This window comes from Homo sapiens, chromosome 1, assembly GCF_000001405.40.
Source record: "Homo sapiens chromosome 1, GRCh38.p14 Primary Assembly".
Taxonomy (NCBI): Eukaryota; Metazoa; Chordata; class Mammalia; order Primates; family Hominidae; genus Homo; species Homo sapiens.
In genome coordinates, this window is record NC_000001.11 from 199,269,349 (window position 1) to 199,292,936 (window position 23,588).

At 36.0% G+C, this 23,588-nt stretch overlaps 1 long non-coding RNA gene across 1 annotated transcript in view, besides 1 other annotated feature; it reads left to right on the forward strand.

Moving 5' to 3' along the window:
• LINC02789 (long intergenic non-protein coding RNA 2789) overlaps positions 1 to 23,588 on the forward strand; it is a 244,710-nt gene that overhangs the window by 120,751 nt on the left and 100,371 nt on the right. The window lies entirely within an intron of this gene.
• Positions 2,927 to 4,126: an enhancer, noted in NCBI's record as "P300/CBP strongly-dependent group 1 enhancer chr1:199241403-199242602 (GRCh37/hg19 assembly coordinates)". NCBI's record gives its function as "activates an origin of replication core promoter dependent on BRD2, BRD4, P300/CBP, MED14 and CDK7 cofactors, with strong dependence on P300/CBP, by STARR-seq in HCT116 cells {active_cell/tissue: HCT116}" and the evidence as "EXISTENCE:reporter gene assay evidence [ECO:0000049][PMID:35650434]".

Sequence of the window (23,588 nt, forward strand, 5' to 3'; positions counted from 1 at the left end):
CATATCCTTAATTCTTGTGACTAAATACTCTGACTTCTTTATCTTTCCGAGGTTTCACCAAAAGTCTATACAGTCGCATTCTTGGCTCTTTCTCTAAAGCATGCTTTCCTGCCAGGAAAACATCTCCTCATGTTAGAATCTTTTACCCTCTGTAAAGGCTGGGAAGTTTCAAGTTATCAAATCCTGGTTTCTTTGTACTTAACAGTTCTTTCCTCAATTTATCTTTCTCTTCTTGCATTTTATTATAAGCGGTAAGAAGAAACCAAGCAGCCCAATGGCAATCCAACTGACCATTGCATGGAAATATCCTTAGCTATATATTCAACTTTGTCACTTACAAGTTCTGCCTTCCATGAAACTACAGGAGACAAGCTTTCTAACACTATATAATAGCAAGGATCCCATTCCTCCAGTTTCCAATGAAATATTCCTCATGTTCTTCTGAGCCCACACTATCAATATACTTGAAGTCCAGACTTCCATGAACAGTATGCTCAAGGCAAATTAGATTTTTCTATCATGCTGTTCAAAATTTTTCCAGGTTGTGCCCACTGACCAGTTCCAAAGCTGCTGTTACATGACAGGTATTTGTTATAGCAGTACTTTGCTTTGTTGGGGCTTAAAACACAATACTGCAAAGTAGGGCACTTTGACATGCTGAGTACTTTGAACTGAAGGAGATTGGAAGGACTTCAGAAGCAAGAAGTTTTCTCTGATCTTCTCCCATCCTCTTTTCTTCCATCATTTCTCCTACCCTCCTTTCTTCTTCCCTCATTTCTCCCACAAACTAGAGTCACAGAAATTAGAATTCCTCTTCCCCAGGGCAAGTCCTAGAAACTAGAACTCCTCACCCCCAGCACAAACCGTAAAACCTAGAGAGGTCATTCTCTGACCTACCTCCCTTCAAAGTAGGCCCTAAGACCCTCATTCCAGAAGGGTCCTGTTGCATACCTGGGTGAGGTATGCTAGAGGCCAAGAAGAATCTGAACAAACAGACCTTGCTAAGTCCCCCTCAGATAATTATTATTAGATCACGTCCTTTTATTCCAATCACATATTTACATGGCTGTCCCTTCTTCATTGAACCTAAACCTAAAATCGCACAGTTTTCCCTGGGCCTTTGAGTCTTCATTTCTGAATCTTCCTATGTCATGTAAAACTTTGATTAAATGAATTTGTCATGCTTTGTCTCTTGCTAACCTGTCATTTGTTATAGGAGTGTCAGCTGTGAACCTTCTAACAACACTCAGAAACCCAAATCTACATTTGTGTTCTACTGCTGTATAACAAATTACAACAAAATTAGCAGCTTAAGAGACATACATATTTGTTAGCTCACAGTGTCCATGGATCAGGAATCTAGGAAGGGCTTAGTTGGGTTCCCTGCTGAGCCTCATAGGCTGCAATTGAGGTGCTAGTAGGGCTATATTCTCATCGAGAGACTCTACTGGAAAACAGTCCAATTCAAAGCTCACTCAGGATATTGGCACAATCCGTTTCCTTGATGCCATATGATTGAGGGACTGGCTTTTGACCATCAGCTGCAAGGCTGCCTCAGGCTCTAGGAGCTGCCCTCAGCTCCAGAACCTCAGTTTCTGGCTATGTGAGTTTCCTTACTTGGAAGTAAGGAATGGCTTACATGGCTGTTTACTTCATCAACCTAGCAAGGAGAATCTCTTACTTCGGACTGAGAAGGGAGAATCCTCAACATAATGTAATCACAGAAATAACCCCTCACCTTTTCTAGATTCCACTGATTAGAAGCAAGTCACACATATCTGCTGCACTCAAGGGAAGAAGATTTATACAGGGTTTGGGCACGGGGGCCCTCTGCGGCCTGTCTGCCACACGGCATTTCTCCTTCATCCTCTTACTGTTATTGTTTGTACTATGTTGTTGGGATACAAGGACTTTGGATCATGAAGAATAAGGAGAGGAATGGAAATCTGAGTCTCCTTTTTTCCTTGAAATCTCTGCAGAAGTAGTTGAAACTACAAAAAAAAACAAAAAAAAAAAAACTGTATTTTCTGAAGTTCAGCTATCTATGTTGTTCCTGTGCCCCATTACCACAGGTAAATGAGATGACTACATTGAATTTTAAGTTTGCTAAAAGCCATCACATTCAGTACATGCTGTGAGTCCCACCCTTCAAGTTATTAAGACACTGTACATATCCTCCATAAAAGAGAGAAACATCTTTATTGGCTAAAGAGTTTAGTTTTGAACATTCTTCATAAAATGTATCTATACAAAAACAGATATTCTGCTAAAGCACAGCTACTGGTAATAGAGAACCAAATATGTTTGGGATCCAAAGATGATCCTCAAATGCACCATACAAAAAAAAAAATTGCCATTAGAAACCAAGAAATTGGGTTTCAGTCTATCAGTCGTTAATGGTATTATATAAGTTAGCTTAATTTTTAAACATTTGTTTTAAAAGCCCAAGGTCAGACCCATTTTAGAGATGCTCATGGATTTCTGAAAATAAGGTCTAAAGCATCAAGATGGTACCAGAATAGCCTTGTAGGATGGGCTCCGTCCCTCCTAAGTTTACGTGGTTACCTTGCTGTCTGGAACCTGGTAGAGGGCAGGCCCAGGTGGCCAGTAGACATTAGCCACCCCACACCCCTTCTTTCTCCCTTCTTCACTCATCTAATGTTTGTCGGGCACCTTTATTTCTGGTGACTCCTAGTAAAAAGTTTTGCACAAAGAGTATCTGTGTGGTAATTTCTGTGCTGTTCTAAGTTTTCTTAGCAGAAAAGTTTCATAGCACTAATAGGTTCTTTTTAGCCTTTTATTGTTTTGAGATCTGGTTACCAAGTGGCTTTGGCAGCAAGAAATGCCTGCAATCCTAGCTCTCAAGTGGAACATTTGAAGTCGAGGTTAAAAGTTCTCAAATAGCATTGCCGATTGCTTAACCATATTCAAATACCTTGTCTAAGTTCAGATGACTTTGTTTGCCAAGCAATTTTTATAAATTAGTATTGCTTATCTCAGTACAAAGTTGTGACACGAACAGTGCTATTTCTTCTATTGTTTTATACCTCTTAGTTTTGATTCTCTAACAGGATTGTAAATGTCAAATGTCTGTGTCATCACAGGCCATGTCTTCTTCTTAGGATGATGTGAGGCACATAGTAGGCTCTCAATAAATGCATTTATTGATAGAATATGTTTCTAACATTTTAATCTCACTTACTAGTCCCGCTTACTTGTTTCTGCTCTTAATTGTACAACTAAATCTACATTTACATTGAAAATTCTTTGAAATATATTCCATATTTTTTTCTTTGGCAAAGTGATCACTTTAGTGGTAGACTTCAAAGTAGAATAATGAAGTACAGTACATATCTTCTAATCTAGTCATGCAATTATAGCATTTCTTACAGTATTAACACTCTATCACTAGAAAATCCTCAGGCAATAATGACTAATAAGGAAAGCATTTCCTGGCAACTAATGACCGGCATGGGGGCGCTTGCTCTTGACCCAAAGCCAGCAGCCCTCAGCCCAGCTGGCTACTGCCTAAACCGGACATGCCAGGCCTCCCTCTGAGGTTACTGTGTATTTATTTATAAACTGTTAGTATAGTGACAAGAAATTTAAAATGAGACAATGTTTAGGTGCTGTTCAGAGGAAAGTACCTGTGGGTAGATCATGATACTTTTTTAGTTGTAATTACATGACTCAGATTATTCTTCCTCTCTGTGGGTGACATAATATATATTCAACATTTAGGACTTAAACATTAAATAAAATCTGCTTTTGGAAGCACAGAGAAGGTATAGAGGTGATAACAATAATATAGCTAGCACTTATTGAGCCTTTATAAGATGCCAAGTTCTATGATAAGCACTTTACATGCATTAATTGATTTAATCTTCATAATGAATCTGCAAGGTAAGTAAGAAGAAACAGAGGCACAAATAGGAGAAAATAACATGCCCCAAATCCATAAGTAGTAAGCAGTAGAGCCTGGATTTAAGGCAAGGCCTCCAACTTGATGCCAACTGCTATTCTGTGTTATTACAGTTCCAATAGCAAAACAAAGCAAAAACATTTAAGCCATTATTAACAAATTGTAAAATACCAGAAGTCTTGTATGTACTACTCTATATTGTTTCTCTATAAGATGGCCTCAAATTTTTTCGATAGAAAAATATTTGGAAGTTACGAAGTGTTCTTCAGTTAACTTAGATAACATCCAACAAATAAGACAAAATAAATGTTTAAAAAAAATAAAAAGTACATTGTCAGTGAGACTATTATCAGAGTCCATGAAAATGTTGAAATATATTTTCATCTTATGATAATAATATTGCAAGAAACTTACAGTTAAAATTTTGTAAGTACCTGTATGAGTAAAGAGGAATGAGAATGCACAGAGAGAAAGTTTTTCTTTCCAGAAATATTTCCCTTACAGTCTGGAAACTTCCTTCACCTTTTTTTCTTACCACAACACTGTCCACTAATTGGCAATTTACTTTAGTTAACAAATTTCCATTTTTGAAACACAAGTGCCCCTGGAGAGTCAAGATAGCCTCCTCATTAGTTACTCACATCAAGGTAAAAATTATTTCAATGAGCTTTCTCTTAATATGTAGCTTAATGTTTAGCCCTGGGGTAATTTGAGTTGCAAAAGATAGTTGGAATGGTGAGTGGAGAGCTGAGTTATTTTGAAACAGGAGAATATGAGTCGTAAGAGCTATTGTAAGACCCCACCACAGGGAAGCCTCAAGCAAGAATTGGAACATACGTGGGAACCAAGAAATAGAGATTAGAGGGAGAGCTTATCACATTTGCAAATGCAAACATTGTGACCTACAAATGCATTTAGAAGCAAGGGCTTATCCCTTTTCCAGACTCTAAGCACTGGGAAACAGGTGATAGTGATACCACAGCACTAAGAATGTCTCCTCCTACTTGGCCTGGTGTTGCTGGGCCAAAGCCAAAGCCTGGATCCCTGCTCCCTCCAGGTCCATCTACAGTGCCCTCTGCCACCTGTCACCTGCTACAGCCCATCAGGTGTTCTCCGTCCAGCTGCTTTCAAGGTCCAAAGTAATTGGCAGCTGAGTTCAGTACCTGAGAAATTGTATTGCCTTTTCTCTGTGTCTGGGACTTATTTTATTGCATTAAAAAAATTTAACAGTCTTAACTTGGCTCAGAGGAGTCTAGAACTACAGCACAGGGAATTTTTTTTAATCTAATGGGGCATAGGGTATAATGCAAACATATTCAGTTCTCTGCACTTATGGTGCAGTCTAGCACAAAGAAGGACTAGCCTCCTGACATTAGCATTTTAGCTACAGGGCTGTCACTTGTTGGTTCTTAACCTTTACTCTGCTACTATAGACCTAATGGATGAGGGTCACATATGCATCATAGTATGCCTATGGGCATACTGAATTTAAAAATAAAAAAAAATCTGATGTTATCTGATTTATCTATTTTTGTTTTTATTGACTGTGCTTATGATGTCATATTCAGAAAATTATTTCCAAGGCAAATGTCAAGAAGGATCTCCCCTATGTTTTCTTCTAGTAATTTTACCATTTCAAGTTTTATGTTTAAATCTTTAATCCACGTTGAGTTAGTTTTTGTGCATGGTGATAGAGATCCAATTTCTTTCCTTTTTTTGTTGTTGGTGCTTTTGTTTTTTTGTTTGTTTGTTTTTTGCATGTGGGTGTCCAATTTTCCCAATACCATTTGTTGAAGAGAACATTTTTCCCCATTGTGTGTTCTTGCTACCCTTGCAGAACATTAGTTAAGGGTAAATGTGTGGGTTTATTTCTGGGTTCTGAATTCTGTTCCATTGGTTCACGTGACTGTTTTCTATGACAGTGCCATATTGTTTTGGTTACTGCAGCTTTGTAATTTATAATTTGAAGTCAGGAAATTTGATGCATCCATCTTTATTCTTGTTCAGGATTGCTTTGGCTATTCAAGATCTTTTATAGTTTCATTTGAACTTTCTGATATTTTCTACTTCTGGAAATAATGCTGATGGGATTCTGATAAAAAGATTTTGCACAGTAATAGAAATAATCAGCAAAATAAAGAGGCAATTTAAAGAATAGGAGAAAAATTTGTATACCATCTAACTAATGAGGAGTTAATATTCAAAATAGATTAGAAACTCATACATCTCCATACCAAAACTACAGATAACTGAGTTAAAAAATGGGCAGAGGATTTAAATAGGCAATTCTCAAAAGAAATCCAGATGGCCAACAGGCAAATGAGAAGGTGTTCAACATCTCTAATCATCAGAGAACTGTAAATCAAAACCACAATGAGGTATCACCTTACACCTGTTAGGATGGCTAGCATCAAAAAGACAAAAGAGGACATGTGTTGGTGAGGATGAGGCAAAAAGGAAGCCCTTGTACAATATTGATGGAAATGTAAAATAGTACACCCATTATGGAAAATAGTGTGGTAGTTCCTCAAAAGATTAAAAATAGAACTACCATATGATCTAGCAATCCCATTTCTGGGTGTAGATCTAAAAATAATTGAAAACATGATTGCAAAGAAATATCTGCGCTTTAATGTTTATTTAGCATTGACTAAGATATGAATACAGGTTCACTGTAGCATAAGACAAGATATAGAAACAATATAAATGTCCTATGATGGATGAATAATGTGGTATGTATTCATGTGTGTGTATGTGTATATATATATATATATATACACACACACATATATATACACACATACATATATATATACACACATACATATACATACACAATGAAATATTCTCTAGCTTTCTTTTTTTTGAGAGGGAGTCTTGCTCTGTCGCCCAGGCTGGAGTGCAGTTGCATGATCTCGGGTCACTGCACCCTCCACCTCCTGGGCTCAAGCGATGCTCCTGCCTCAGCCTTCCGAGTAGCTGGGACTATAGGCATGCGCCACCACACCCGGCTAATTTTTTGTATTTTTAGTGGAGATGGGATTTCACTGTGTTAGCCAGGATGGTCTTGATCTCCTGACCTTGTGATCCACCCACCTTGGCCTCCCAAAGTGCTGAGATTATAGGCGTGAGCCACTGTACCCTACCAGTCTAGTTTTTAAAAAGAAGGAACCTACCCATTTACAACAACATGAATGGAGCTGTATAGCTTTATGCTAAGTTAAATAAGCAACACACAAAAAGAGAAATACCACATGATCTCACTTATTTGAGGAATCTGAAATAGTCAAATTCACAGAAGCACAGAGTAGAATGGCGGTTGCCAGGGGCTGAGGGCAGGGGCAATGGGAGGATATTGGTCAAAGGATACAAAGTTTTAGTTATGCAGGATGAATACATTCTAGAGATCTAATGTACAGCATGGTAGCCATAGTTAAATAAGTATTAAATTTGCTATAAATTAAATAATAAAAATACTATGTTTTTACTTGAAATTTCCTAACATTATAAATCTTAAATTGTCTCACCACATATATACACACATTCACATACAGAAATGGTAACTATGTAGAAGTGAAATACGCTAATTGTCTGGAATTTAGTCATCATTTCACAATGTATGCAATAAATGCAATTTTTATACCTCCATGATATCTCAATAAAGCTGTTTTGAAAATGAAAAGCAAACAAACAAACCAAGTGATATAGTTTGGCTGTGTCCCCACCCAAGTCTCATCTTAAATTGTAGCTCCCAAAATTCCCATGTGTTGTGAGAAGGACCCGGTGGGAGGTAATTGAATCATGGGGGCTGGTCTTTCTCATGCTGTTCTCATGAAAGTGAGTAAGTTTCACAAGATCTGATGGTTTTATAGAGGCGAGTTTCCCTGCACAAACTCTCTCTTCTCTTTTTGCCTGCTGCTATTCATGTAAGACATGACTTGCTCCTCCTTGCCTTCCACCATGATTGTGAGGCCTCCCCAGCCATGTGGAACTGTGAGTCCATTAAACCTTTCTTTTGTAAATTGCCCAGTCTTGGGTATGTCTTTATCAGCAGCGTGAACACGGACTAATACACCAAGCAAGCACTTTTACATTAGAAGTAACTTGTAATGCCTACAATTATTGGTACATCAATATTGGTAACACACTCTACATGCTGTAGAAAGGCTGCAGGCTGTTGGTGGCCCCTTGGCAGCACTATTGTAACACCCTTCTTTTCTTAAGAAAAAATATTCACTGCATATGAGTGGATTATACAATAAATTTCAAACCCACTCCAATTACATGTTTTCTTACATATCTATAAAATATAATTTTCCATAATATGCTAGTCATGTAAATATTGCATTAAGTAGTAACTAATTATTTTCCATATCCCTCACAAGTCATGTCACTCACCAGTATGTCATGGCCCATCATGTGAAATCATTGCACCAACAAATTAAAAGGCCAATATCAAATTTGATGTGGATATTACCTCTCTGTCTTACAAGGTATAAACTAACCCAGGATTAATTTCTTGATTGGTTATTGTTATAGGGTTGAATTGTGTCCCTCCCCTCCCCCAAAATCACATGTTAAAGTCTTAATCTCTAGTACCTCAAAATGCGACCATATTTGGAAATAGGGCCTTTTAAGGAGGTAAGGACAGTAATATGAGAAATATGAGATCATATGGGTGGATCCTAATCCAATATGACTGCTGTTCTTATAAGGAGGTTAGGACACAGACACACAGACCATGTGAAGACATAGACAATCTACTAGTCATAGAGAGAGACCGAGGAAACCAATACTGCCAACAGCTTGATCTCAGACTTCTAGCCTTAAGAACTGTGAGAAAATAAATTTCTGTTGTTTACCTAGTTTATGTACCTTATCATGGAAGACTCAGAAAACAAATAGTCATTGACTCTAAATGGTTGAATTTTACTATTGTCAGATTTCTTCTCTAAATACATCACAAATACTGAAAAAAAATGTCTGGACTGAGAATCAAAAATGTGTGTTTTTATTTGTAGTTTTCTTGTTAATTACCTTTGGTAAACTAAAAATTTCTTTGTCTAAATCACCCCTTCAGTAAAATTAGAGATTTTACTAGATTTGTTCTCTCCTGCTTCAACCAGAACCACTCTACTTTTATTATTTTATATCATGGTCTTATGTAAGATTCCATTTGAAGATGACTTCAATTACTAAAGATATCCTTAAGACCATAGCCAAATTATACAATTTCACTTGCCAACCATCTTCTCTAATTTCATTATATGATAATTGTCAATAGTCTATTCTGAAATATAGAATATATATATAGTGAATCTATGATAGTTCTACTTTAAAGTTATTACTTTGCCACTTGAATGACATATCCATTTAAGACTTTATTTCTGAGATGATCAATAGGTATTTTATACTTAGCAAATAACAGATATTAGATTCTATACAAGTCCCTATTCTCTCAATTCAAGATAAATCTATTGGGCTAACTCACTTTTATTAAATGCTTTTCATGTTTAAAAAATAATGTGAGTGAGGCAATCCTTATAGGGATACTTTACATTTATGAAAATTGTTTACTCTGTTGCTTTCTGGATTTAGTGGCCTACAAACAAAATACAAAATCCTCTTCCCCCACCACCCCAGCTCCAGTACTCTCATTGATTTCCTAAAGTTGTAAGTAGTCATAAAATCTAATAAATGTTGGTACTGGCCTTTTGAATCTCATGCAGTAAGTTTAAGTGTAGCTAGAGAAGCTTTATTTATTTATTTTTAGTACATTCACCAAGTGGTTCTAATGAAATGGGTATGAGGATTGGCTTTGAGGAACTACTGCATTACACAAAGCCAGTGATGAGGTGGAGATGGGAAGGTTAGCCAGGCAAGGTGAGTGAAAAGGCAGAAAAACACTTCATCTTGGGGTGGGGGTTAGCATAGGGATAGTGAGGTATGGAAAGGGAAGTAAAGAGGGAAGAAAATAACACTGTGTAGAAATAAACCACAGATTATGCAACATCCCAGTCTGGTCATTTTATTTGAACTATTCTGACAGGCTTAATCTTCCTATTGTCAGATTTCTTCTCTAAATACATCATGGTTGACTCACAAAGAACAATGAGATTGAAGTGAAAGACCCATGTAGAGATCCCTCCTTGAACAAAAATTTCTTAAAACCAAGTCCTCCAAAAGAAAACTGATTTTTAGAGGTTTTAAAAGGGCTGTTTTGGCCCTGATTCCAGTTACCAAGAATTCTCAAGATGCAGGTAGAGTATCCCATTAAGCATTCAAGAGATGTTTTTAATAATTAAGGGACACAGGCCTGGCGTGGTGGCTCATGCCTGTAATCCCAGCACTTTGGGAGGCCAAGGTGGGCAGATCACGAGGTCAGGAGTTCAAGACCAACCCAATCAACATGGTGAAATCCTGTCTTTACTAAAAATACAAAAATTAGCCAGGGGTGGTGGTGCACGCCTATAGTCCCAGCTACTCAGGAGGCTGAGGCAGGAGAATCACTTGAACCTGGGAGGCGGAGGTTGCAATGAGCCCAGATCGCACCATTGCACTCCAGCCTGGGTGAGAGTGAGACTCCGTCTAAAATAATGATGATAATAATAATAATAATAGGACACATATTTTCTTTGAATTTTCTGTAATCTTTCAAAATGTTAGATATCTGGGGATCTTAGGATGAATAACATTTTCCTTTTGGCAGGAAACATCACTTGCTGATTGAGTTTGAAATGAAAGTGTCCCCTATTGCACATGGAATGGGTGACAGGACAATTCCTGTGTAGCACTGCTAGCATTGCCCCCTGCAGTACAGATCAGCACAGTTACACCTACCATCCATCACATGGAATACACACACACATGAAAGAAAAGAAAAAAGATTCTTGCCATTTCTCCATCAGGATTTTTATATTAGGATGCCTGTCAATTACAAACATTTGCATTTCCTTTCTTGGCTCACTTTCTCTTCTTTTATACTTTTTGCTTGTATTTTTCTCATCTGTAATCATACTCTTCTATCATTTTGTCTAGAAATCCAACTAAAACATAGAGCTGCCTCTGGGGAAATTCTGTGCTTTTCGGTAAGCTTCTTGCTTTGCCTCAGAAGTTCTACCATTTGACTCATGGAGTGTCCTTCACTACAAACTTCTGTGACTCAGAAAGAGAAAGATGCCCTCACTCCCAACCTTCCACAGCGTGTCTGGCTGGGTATCAGCCCACAGTTTCTGAGTTGGTATCAGACAGTAAGTCCCTGGAAGCAGGGATTGGCTACTCTGTGGCCCTTAGCACACTGTAGATCAAAAACAGTTAACTCACAACAAATATCGCTCTATGGACAGTGAGAAAAAAATTATTATTTTTCCATTATACGAAAGCTATCATTATGGGAAATTTTAATTTTTTTTTAGAAAACAATTTTAAGTTCCAGGCCAGCACTCTGATGGTTAGACATACTACACCCTACTTCATTTAGGCCGTGCTGATGCCTTTACATATCTAAAAATTTGTTCATCAACTCCCCTCTTTGGCATAATGTGTCAAAAACTGATGCTCCAGACTCTCAAAGAACTGTGATTGCCTAACACTGGAACCAGTAACAGCACGAATAGATTACAATTCATTATTTTCTAGTCATCAGGTTTCACATTTTTGTAGGTTAGATTCTAAGTATATGTGTGCTCTTTTTAATTTGTTGTTTCGTCTAGTATTCTCTCTAATCCTGACTTGTTGGCAGACACATTTGGGGAAAAAAAATTGTTGATCGTATTCTGTCTCAGCGAGACCATTTGGAGAAATAATAGAGATCACTTCCACTTAAAATACATCCACCATGTGCTTCTTGATAAAATTCTTTAATTACTTAATTCCCCTTTTAAAACAGTGAGCTTAACATCTCAATTTGCAAAATGAGAGCCTTTGCAGTTCAATTAGGAATTGAGCCAGTTATTCATGTATATGTATTTACTGGCATGTTTTAATCTCAAACTAATTTAAACACCATTATTTTTAAAAAATTTATTGTTAGTATAATATACAAATTTAAACTCTACAGAAGAGTATATCATGGAAAGATGTGTTGTTTACCTCTCAAATAAAAAATAATTCATAAAACCATATATAGCCCTATTTTATCTCTCTGTATCTGTCTGCCCATGTAAAAAATAATTCATAAAACCATATATAGCCCTCTTTTATCTCTCTGTATCTGTCTACGCATGCCCTAATTTGGTTTCAAAAGAATTTAAGATACAATTATTATATTCTGGCTTTTCGTATATTAAAAAATGTACCACTGACCCAGAATTTTGGAAATTAAAGGTCAATATATATTATCTTACTGAAAAAAATTTTGAAATACTTTTTCAAAGTTAACTGTAAAAGCCACAGCACAGAGTTTGAGGTAATACTTGTCACCAAAGACTCAATATAGTACATAGTCCCTAAATATTTTTTCCATGATTTGTGTTATGTCTTCAAAATTTGAAGAAAATAATATATAATATAGGGCTGGCATGGTGGATCATGCCTGTAATCCCAGCACTTTGGGAGGCTGAGGTAGGAAGATCCCTTGAGCCCAGGAGTTTGAGACCAGCCTAGGCAACACAGTGAGACCCTATCTTTACAAAATGAAAATTAAAAAAAAAAAAAATAGGCAAGCATGGTGGCAAGCACCTGTGTTCCTAGCTACTTAGGAGGCTAAGGTCGGGGGATGGCTTGAGCCTGGGGAGGTTGAGGCTGCAGGGAGTTGTGATCATGCCATTATACTCCAGCCTGGGTGACAGAGTGAGACCTTATCTGAAAAATAAATAAATAAAATAATAACAGTATAATATGTATCTGTGAAACAGGTTTTAATAACTGATTTCAATTTGCTAGTACACATTTTATAGCTTAAGATAAACAATTGTCTTGGAAATAATAAAATACATTTCAATAACTATATTCTTTAATCCATTCTTTTCCCAATGGTCTACTGCCAACCTTCTCAAACGTGATTTTTTTATAGTTGTATACCAAAAGACTTTCACACTTTTGTAACGCAGCAAGCTTTGAGCTACAGAATTTTGTTTTAATGTTCCAAAAATATCATGCAGTTTCTAAGCTCCAAAGTCTCTTTGTCCACTTATTCATCCATCCATCCAATAAATATTTAATGAGTTTCCATTATATACATTACTCTGCTAATTTCTGGAGTTACACACAGAAAAGAAATGGACAGAGGTCTCAATGTTGTTGTAATCTTGTACGTTAGATATGCCCACATTTAACCATAAAAGGAATTATAAAATAATTGCTGTGGATAAGATTCTATATGAATCTAAATGAGCTCCAAAAGTAGGGTCTGGGAAGGAAATGAAGAAAGGCTTGGAAGAGGAGGTAGTATCCAAAGTGGGACTTCCAAGTCACATAAGGAAAAGTGGATATAAGAAAATGATTTAGGGAAGACATTAGCAAAGCCAGAAAGAAAGGAAAGCTTGCATCATATAAAGAAAATAATAGGTAATTAATTTGGTTCTGGCTCATGAAGAAGAGTCATGGAAAATATATATGGAAAGTTTAGGCCAGATTCTACAGTCTTACATGCTAATCTATTGGACTTTGACTTTTACAATTTGTGGCCAGCCGGATGAGACACACATTCTATTCTTGGCTTTCAAAGTACCCTAAGACCTAGCCTTGGCCAACTTTTCCAACAGTGGTTGTAGGTGCTCTATTAATGTCTGTTGATTTGCACTGGAAGTGAATTTCCAACTGTGCATTCGCATGTTGTCTCCAACTTTAGTAAACTACTTTACTTAGCATTTCCCACACATAGCCTGAGATCTCTAGCTCTGTGGCTTTGCTCACAGTTTATTCCATTTGTCACTTCCTGTCCGTTTTGCTTGTTAACATACTCTTTTTCCTCATCACCCATGGTTCATTCTAAATCCACTAACTAGAAATAAACCCTATCTTCTTTGTATTTCTATTATTTTTACTTGTAACATTTACCACATCCTGCAATATGGTACAATAATTTGAATATATTCTTAACTTTCTTATAGGATTATACATATTTAAAATGCAAAAAGAAGAACATTTAAAACACTGTCCCATTGAATTTCAATGAAATTTCATCCACAATGATCAATTAAGCTCTTAAGGATATGAAAAGAATTGGGATTTGGCTGATATGAGATGAACAGGACAGAGACCCTGAGGGCTGGGGACTTGCAATCTAGTGTGGAGGTTAAATACCTTCACTACTCAAATATCAGGCAAACTCAGTAAATATACAGGGAAAATTCCCTAAACCTTCTAGAGAAATAAAAACCTGTACTGCAGGAAAAAAAAAACAGTTTTATAAAAGATTCCCAAAACTATTAACTAGTTCCACCTAAAAGTAGCAGCAAAGATAATCAAATACATAAAATGAGCATATTATTCAATTCCCCAACTTAAAATCATCTAATGCTGGTGACTGAGTAGTTACTTACAAGTCTGCTCTATGAGCTCCATCTTTCCCAAGATATTTTTCATTGCCTGTGTGTGCCAGAAAACTGGAAAAACGTTTAACTTACTACAAGTGATTGATCCAAAAGTGTGGCAGCAGTCCTGCTATCCAAAAATACCAGGTGAAATAGCAGACAGCCAGATATGCACAGCTGGATATGTTTTGCCTCTTTTGGGTCGTCCAAGTTTACCACATGTCAGTTCAGCAATTTAGGATGGATTGGAGACAATCCAGTAGAAAGAAAGGGAAAGTTGTGTTGGTTGCAGTCTGCAGAAGTTCTCTTTCTTGTGTTCTTAATTCATCTCTTTCTCAGATGTTTGTGGTTTGTTTGTCTTTTCAGTTGTGGCAGTGGTTAATACTGCTGATGGGAAAATAATTTGTACAACCTGGGCAGATCTTTTAAAGTTGTAAGTTTACTTAACGTTAATCTGCAGGTGCCCAAATATTACCTATTTGAAAATCCATGTCATCATTGCATAAACTCCTAAAATTTGCATCCATCAATGAGATTTGCCAGTTTTCTTTTTAATCCTTTACCACCCACTTGAAGTGGCTAAATTTAGATGTGTTCCACTGTCTGCTTCACTCATTTAAATAACTGCAATTACAAGCTGACCTGCAAAATAAAGAGCCATAATAGGATGCTTATTTAGATCAAACTATCTTAAATGTGTGTAAGAAATATGACTATTCTAAGGGTCCTTAACAAGATAAGGGTTAGGCCAAATTTGAAGGACAAGGGGAAACTATTCTGTCTGCCATTGCCCCAGGTCTTGGTGTAGTAAAGGAGGTCTACTTGTTTACAATTACTTATCATATTAATCTATTTCACTAAATATTTATTTTTCTAATTGAAAGTCGCTATTATTTTTTTTGCTCCATTACTTTTTAGCACTTGCCACCTCCCCCCAATCCTCTAACATTGCCTCTTACTGTTCCTCCATCAAAGCATCAAGCATCAGATAGCAATGCTTGCATTTAATTGTGAAACAGCTTATTTGCTGTTCTTACGTAAAGGATATAGAAGCAAGGTGTGGGGCTGTAAAAGGGTACTAGGCCAGGAGTCTAATTACATTGCTGTCTTGCTGTGAGCCAACTATACAAACGTGGGCAAGACACTGCACCTCCATAGGGTTAAAAAGCCCTCGAATTTAACCATTCTCCGCCATTATCCTTGACAACAGGGTCAGGGAAGCACAGTTCTCTTTCTGTATATTAAAATAAAGAAATATCCAGATTTATGAAATTTGTAATACATTTCCATGTTTATACTTAAACAAATCTAACACACTGAAAAATGTACTCTTTGTATAATCGCATGTGGAAATAACACCAACACTCTAAAAATGTAGCTCTTTGTGAATGTGAGACTTGAGTAAATGGCTACTTTTCTCATACCTCAGTTTTGGCTGTGCCTCCAATTGACTCATTTTTCTTTCTCTGCATTACTGATTTGTAACTGTACTGCATCATTCTAGTCTTGTCTTCACTTTGGAGCCATCCTTGATGCTGATCAAATCATTTTAATATATATGTGATTGACACTCCCCCATTTTGCCTACAACTCAACCATAATGAACTACCCACTGAAGTTCTTAGAGTATCTCATTCTCTCTTACATATGTGTTTGAACTAGTTGTTTCTCTCCCTAGAATTATTCTCAGATATCTCCTTTTGTTTGAAATTCAAGACATCATGGGCTAGAGAATACCATCCCTGACACACCATTCTTAGCAAGACCAGAGATCTGTCCTCTAAAAGTGGCCTGATTTTACACATCACACACTCCATGTAATTATGTGTTTCTAATTAGCATGTCCTAGATAAATTTATAGCTAACTAATGATTTTACTAAATGTATACTTAAAAGTATTTGGAATTTCAATAATCAACTTGTTCACAGTACACCATATTTAAATCAAAACCAATAGGATTTGCAGTATTGGCATTCATTAAAATGATTTTGTGGTTAAGGAGAATAGGTTAGATAAATAGCACTAGGATGAAAGATGATTATTCATAAACTACATTATGTAGCAACAAGAACCTTGCCGAACCATCTCATCGGCTCAAGTAGGACTCATGGGTAGGGCTTTGGGAAACTTCTTCCTTAACTGCGGTAAAGCTCATTTACACCAGAAGCAGATATTTTCTAAAGACCAGAAATACATTTCAGGGGCAAATGAATGAATAGTGACAATGTAAATTGTTAATTTCCCCCCTAAAGACTTCACATTTCAATAGGGCTCAATGTTTTAAGCTCAGCTTAAGAATCCAGGACTAAAGGAAAGCATTTTCAGAATTGGAGCAGAAAAGTGTGTGTGTGTGTGTGTGTGCGCGTGCGTGCACGCGCACACATACCATTCTCAGCAACCTAAAATTGTATAAGTAATTTTTCCCTATATATAATGCTGTGTTTGTGGGGATTGTCTTCTGACAAATTAGAATTAAATTTCCTTAAAGACCTGTACTAAATTTCATATTTCCCTTGAATTCTCCAATATTGCTTGGCACATACCAAACATTTAATAAAATTACAGCATTAGTTGATATTTATTATTACTGCCTACTGAAACAATATGGATCAGAAAAATGGTTATGTTCTTATGCTCCAAACGTTGTTTCCCCAAATCATGATCCCCATTTTTTCCCTTACTGAAAGAAGACTCAAAGGCTAGAGACTGAACCACATGAATCCTCAAGGTTTCTTTTCAACTTTTTTTTTTATCACTATAGCAATAAATTGGAGGAACCCACTGCTGTGATTTGACCACGACCCTCAGCATTGATTCATCTCAGGATCCTCAAAAGCACTGCTGATTTGCAGTGTCAGAGGATCCAGATCAAGTACATTTAAAGTGCTCTCAATCAAACGCAAAAAGGATTGACTACCTTAAAGATCCAGGCTTTGATTTCAACAGTCAAGAAATTACTTCTGGCTCCACTTTCAAGGAAAACCAAAAAGTTAAAGAGAGAGAGATGGTGATAGAATATAAATATAGTTAAAATATTTATAAGCTATAAGATTGCATTTGGCAAGATCAACTTTTCTTCTACAATAGTGGGAGATGTTCTGTGGCATTCCAAGTTGGCTCTGTGATGATATATTCTCAGTATTAATGTGTCATTTGAGAATGTCTTGATGTTTCCCACATTGATTCTCATGTCATTTACCCACCATGCCTAACAGGCACAGGAAATGGGCAACAGAAACAAAAGTTTCAGGTACCATGATGAAAATGACAAAGTCTCCTTAGCCCTGGGTATGGAAAACAGCAGCAGCCTGGTGCTTCTCTAGAGCAGCTCTGACAGTCACCAGAAGAGACGGGGTTGTTGTGAGCAACAGTAGCCAGTGGTGTGCAAAGAACTTGAGAGATGGAGGTAAATGCCAGGCAAAATACAAGTTCAGGATACTACTTTGTACTTTATGGAGTCATAAAATCTTTATTCTGGAAAGTTCAAAGCCCTTGACAGACATTTCATTAGTCCTCCCTCTCTCCTTTGAGGTACACAGGTGGCAAGTGTAATTATTGTCATTTTTATGAATGGGAAAAAATGAGGCATGGAAGGTTAAGTAACACATTGAAAATTACATAAAACCACATAAACAGAAGACTCCACCAACCCCCTCCCTGATGCTTCCTTAAATGCCCCATGACCTTTTTCACTATGTTGGTCTTATATCACGCTTTTCCTAAAAGCAAATGCTTTAAACAACTTCTTCTGTTCATTAACATATGCTGCTTCTAAAATTTAGAAAAAAAGGAGGCTAAAAAAATAAACAGAGTCTTGGTTTATGTTTCAAATGACCAAATAATTCTTTCTATGCTACTGATATAATCTCATATATCAAATTTATTATATTTTTAACAGAACTTACTTACAGTTGATTTTCTTAGTTCCAGTACTTCCTCTAAAAGATGCCTTAAATCCACATTGCTCAAACACATCCTCTGATTCTAAAATCTATATGTTAAAATGAACTCATGATACTGCTAAGCATCTCAGAAAAGATGAGTCAGATGACGCCTGTAAGGACCAAGAAAAGAGAATGAACTCCCCTTCTTCCTTACAGCTGGCAGAGAACCACCAAGTGGTGATGTTGGAACTATGCACTGCACTCCACCTCCATGTCCTGAAAAGACATCTTTGCTTGGCAGCTCTTCCAATTGAAACATTAAAAAAGAGATGGTAACAGCAACCAAATGGAAAAAGCTGAAAATTACTAGAGAAGGGGGAAAATTTAACTTCTAAGAAGATATTAGAAAGTGGAAACTTTACAAAAATTCTTCTCACCAATGAGGTTGTCCAAAAATCACCCAAATTTATTATAGAATAATAATAACTAAATTTGTGCATGAATCAGTGATGATGTAAAACTATCCTGTAAGTATTACTGAAGGGTTGTTTTTTTTTCTATTTAATTTACCTTCAAAGTAAGGCTTCCAGGATAAGGCTTTCTACTGCACTTCATTATACAATGCCATGTTGACCTGATATATTACCTCAGATGTGAATCTAATAAGGTTTGATTTGTTATGATAAGACTAAAATGAAACATATCACTTTTTTCATGTCTCTTTCTTATAAGCACAGGTGCAATAAATAACCAGTTTCAATATGGGAAGTGTCTTGAGTCTGATTCTTAAAGACACCTTTAAAAAGATGATTTTTTCTACCATATGCAGTTTATATAGGAAAGTAAAATTGTGTAGCCAAACCCCTGTCTCTATTAGTGCTAAAATCGAGTTGAAAACTAAATGCCTGGCGACCTCATGAGGATAATTTACAGGAGTTTACACTGCCTGGTAATACGGAGTGCTTTTTCTCATCTGCCCTTATAAATGTACAAACTGGAAACCACTAGAAAAAAAAATTGGTTTAGATTTATCCCATAGGTTACTAATTGCTCTCGTATCAACATATGAACATATTTTTATGTATAAATACCACGTTTTCCTTTTGTCTTTTAATATACTAAAATAAATACCGATTGCTAAATACTGGCTTTGAAGCTGGTCTTAGGCTCTTAAAATGGCTGTCAAATATGATATTGATTTATTAATAACTCCCATATGGTTAAAAAAAAACCTTTCCAGATCTTTAACATCTTTCAACCATTGCAGTTAATTGTTGTGTTGAAATACTTTTCTTGATCATTCTTACCTAATTCCTTTGTATAAGATTATACTTACTTATTTCACTGCTTAAGGATTCACATTGCTTTGGAGTTCATTTTTTCCGTAAGAAAATACTTTATTCCTGTGAGAGAGAAATGCAGTACTCATATATAACGCAGCTGTGAAACAAATGTAATACTTTATGTACTATTGTAAAGAGACCTTCTAAACTCTAATTTCCTGGGCTGATAGTGAATAATACCTATGTCTACGCCTAATAATCATTCATAATACTTTATTTTTTTCTAACAAAAATGACAATCAGTATTGGCACATGTTATGAAATGAAACCTTTAGCATATTAACAGCTTCCAAGACATGATTTATGGCCAGAATAACATTTGTTGTATTTATGTTACCACTGCAACTACTACTATTATTAATAATAAAAAGGGTTTATTTCAGAAATTATACAACTTAGAAATTTAACTTATAGGTGATTGACAGATGGAAATGCTTAACCATTTTTAGTTCAACCTCAACATTGTAAAGGTAGCATTTTTATGTTTCTTCAGTGCCTTCTTTTCTTCCTGACATTCCTAAATATACAGCCTTGGAAGTCATTACTTTCCTGGCTCCCCACTGGCATTTCTCTTTATAAGCAACACCACTTTTTACAAGAGATCTCTCCACTATAAAATTCATCAGAGATTGTGTGTTTAACATACTTCACCTGAATCCCAGTCTGTCTACTATTATATTTTTGCTTTATTCGTTAATTCTGAAGACTAACTTTTGTCCAGAAATAAATGATCTAATGGAAGAAGGGCATATACTTTTATTTTAACTGTATTTTATTGGCAAAGGATGCCTATAAAACTTTGTTTTGAAGAATTCTGAGGTTATTTAGAAGGTCTTTGGAAAAGGCTCCATAGGTATAGAAAAGGGAAGGACCAACTATGTAACTCCCCAATCAAGATGTATCTATATTTCCTTAGGAAAGACAAATTCCCGCATCTCTATCCTCAATGGAAACTAGATATCAATATATATTGAACTGCAACCAAATTCAAGTTGCCAAGATAAAAGCAACATCACATTAATATGTCTTCTAAACAGTTGGCATCTCTGTATTTGTATTTCCAAGGTAAAATTTTTAGCTGCAGATGAGTCTTAGAAAATAATATTGATCATTTACTCTGTAGAAAGAAATACTAGGATAAAATTTTAATTCAGTTTATTGCCTTTAAATTTCCAGGGACATACATATTTTTTACTTGATAATAAACATGCAAAATCTCAGTAGAAACTGAATGTGAACATTTTTTAAGATAACTTGAATAAAATGTAACTAATACTCTGATTTACTGGGAAATAATTTAAAACCTAAAACATAACAACTATGATGTTCAAAATACATTGAACATAACTCATTCTCTGATTCAGGATGTACTTCCTGACTTCACAGTGCAATCTGGTCATGTTTATGAGCACTGATTACAAAATAAGGTCCTGAAACTGGACAGAGGCAGTATGCACAGTCAAGAAGTACTGGAGGCAGACATACTGTGTTGGCCTCCTCACCCATTCATTTTTATCAGCTCTGTGCCTCAGCTTCCCCATCTGGAAAATGGGGATGATAGTAATATTACCTACAGTTCTGACACCTTCACTTAACACATAGCAAGCCCTCCATAAGTGTTAGTCATTACTGTCATTATGTTATAAAGTATGCAAAATTGACCTGGACTTTTTTTATAATTGAAAGACAGACATTGAAGCATTTGTTGTGTCTGTGTGTTGGGTTTGGTAGTATATTTAAGCATTGTGTTTATTTTATTTTGACAAATCCATATTTTGATCTACTTCCTTATTATGTTTTTCTTATGACTAACAAAATATGTCCTGAATACCCCAAATATAGATAGTTGTACTTCCTTATATTCGAGCTGTTCTAGATAGTTTACAGTTTATTTTGATCTATGATAACTTCATTTATACTATCCGATGAAGACAAATATTTATTAAATAAAGTCATACCTTTAGTATAAATTCCACCATTTTAAAAAATGAACAGGCAGTTTTGGAATGACATCCATTGACTTTTATAAAGAAATTCTTTTTAAAAAATGTAAATTGATCTCCCTTCTTAAACTCTAAAGAACATGGTATTTTCATACCTCATTGAGTGAGATATTGTTTTTTATGTTCTACTTCAAGAGAGGAAAATTTTTATTTAAAATTTTGTGGTTGAGCAGTGAATATGTAAGCTGAGTGGAAATTTCTACCCAGCTTGGATGCTTTGCTGAAGGGTGCTGAGAATGAGATTAGAACTGAGTCCTGTATGCCTAATGAGTAACAGATTTTGATATAAAAACAGGATTCTGTATTTGGATATCTTTGATCTAAGACTACTAAAAAGAATAATAATTGTGGTTATGGGCAAGAGCCTGTTAAAGATGGGAAAATTAGAACTTAAAAAACAATCGTTGACTCTAAATATCCAAACTAATTTCTAAAAAGAAATACATTATTTAAGTGTGAAAATATTTGACTTTTTTTTTTTTTTCTCTTGCCGGTGTCTTTTCTCATATCTGTCAGCACTAAAAGCCCTGGCATGCTCTAAAAGTTTGTTTTGTCAGTCTTGGATCCCACAGAAAAGAATGCAAGGGATCCTATGGGTACTAAATTTATAACCTTAGATATGTAGGGTTTGATAAGCATTCAAATATTTTGTTGACTAACCACATCAAATCAAAGCTGTGAACTTCACCAATCACTAATGATTCCAAGGAACTTGGATGAGATCATTGTATGCAAATCTCCAAGGGTTTAGGGCTTAACCCAGGACCCTTGAAGGTGAAAGGCAAACCCCCTCTTGGCTGGGTCTTCCTGCTAGTTTTGTGTAATTATCAAATGGGCCCTGGGAATTTGTCCAGCAGCCATCCAAAAACAGAAACATACACATTTCGCTTACAGTTAGTACTGCGGCTACCTTGGAATAGAAGAAAGTCAGCAGGTTCATGTTTACGTAAAATGCTTTGAGACTTTAACTCTGAACCAGTCCAATGACCTTTAGCATTGGGAATGCTGAAACATCTAAGAGCACCCCACCTCCAATGCTGGTTCTGGAAATGGCAGAGCAAATTAGTTGATGAGGCTGTGAAACTCCCAGAAGCACTTCTTCTGGATACTTCATTTATGGGAGTGGGAACTAAGCATATCTGAGGGGTGGGAAATGTCACTTTACTGCTGGTAATGCTGTAACTCAGCTGTGAGCGATTAGGAGTCTTGCAAACTGAAGGCTCTCAGAATTCCACAATTCCAGGCAGCAGGGAGCTTGTAAATGTGTGCTTGTAATATGTGTCCCCAGTACACACATTTGTGACCAAATCATTAGAAATCTTTCTAGAAAAAATAATAGGTCATAAGTACAAAATTCTAATTTGTACTTTAAATGTTTCATGGATAGAATATAAAGGTGGGTCCTCTTGATTTTTAATCCTATTATAAGCCTGTAAAGATTGGATGGCTACGAATGCAAAGTAATCTTGCCCTGCTCATGTGTAGTAATATCTGCGCACAGTAGGAAACAGGTCTCATGATCATTATTCTTGCTCTGTGTTTGAAACCAAGTGCTAATATTAGTCAAATATAACTTCTTAGAATGAACATTGGCATTTGCTTTGTTGATAAATTACTATATTAAATATATTTTTTAAATTTTCCTGCCACGAATTAAGGAAGAAATTGGTAATTAAGAACAAAAGGTACATGATACCATGTACATACAATGTACCAGAGGTACGTTTCAATGACATGATATGTTAACTTGAAATATTTATGATTACTTCATAATGAATTAGAAATCAAGACTATGACTGAAGCATATCCATAACTTTATGACTTATTCTGCATTCAGAAGTAGCTAAAGAAAACAATGGCCTTGGTGTATTACAGATGTTCTTTAACCCACCCATTTTTAAAGTCCCCATTTGCTTTAAATAAAGCAGCTCCTACTGTAAATGCCTTTTATTTCTTGATT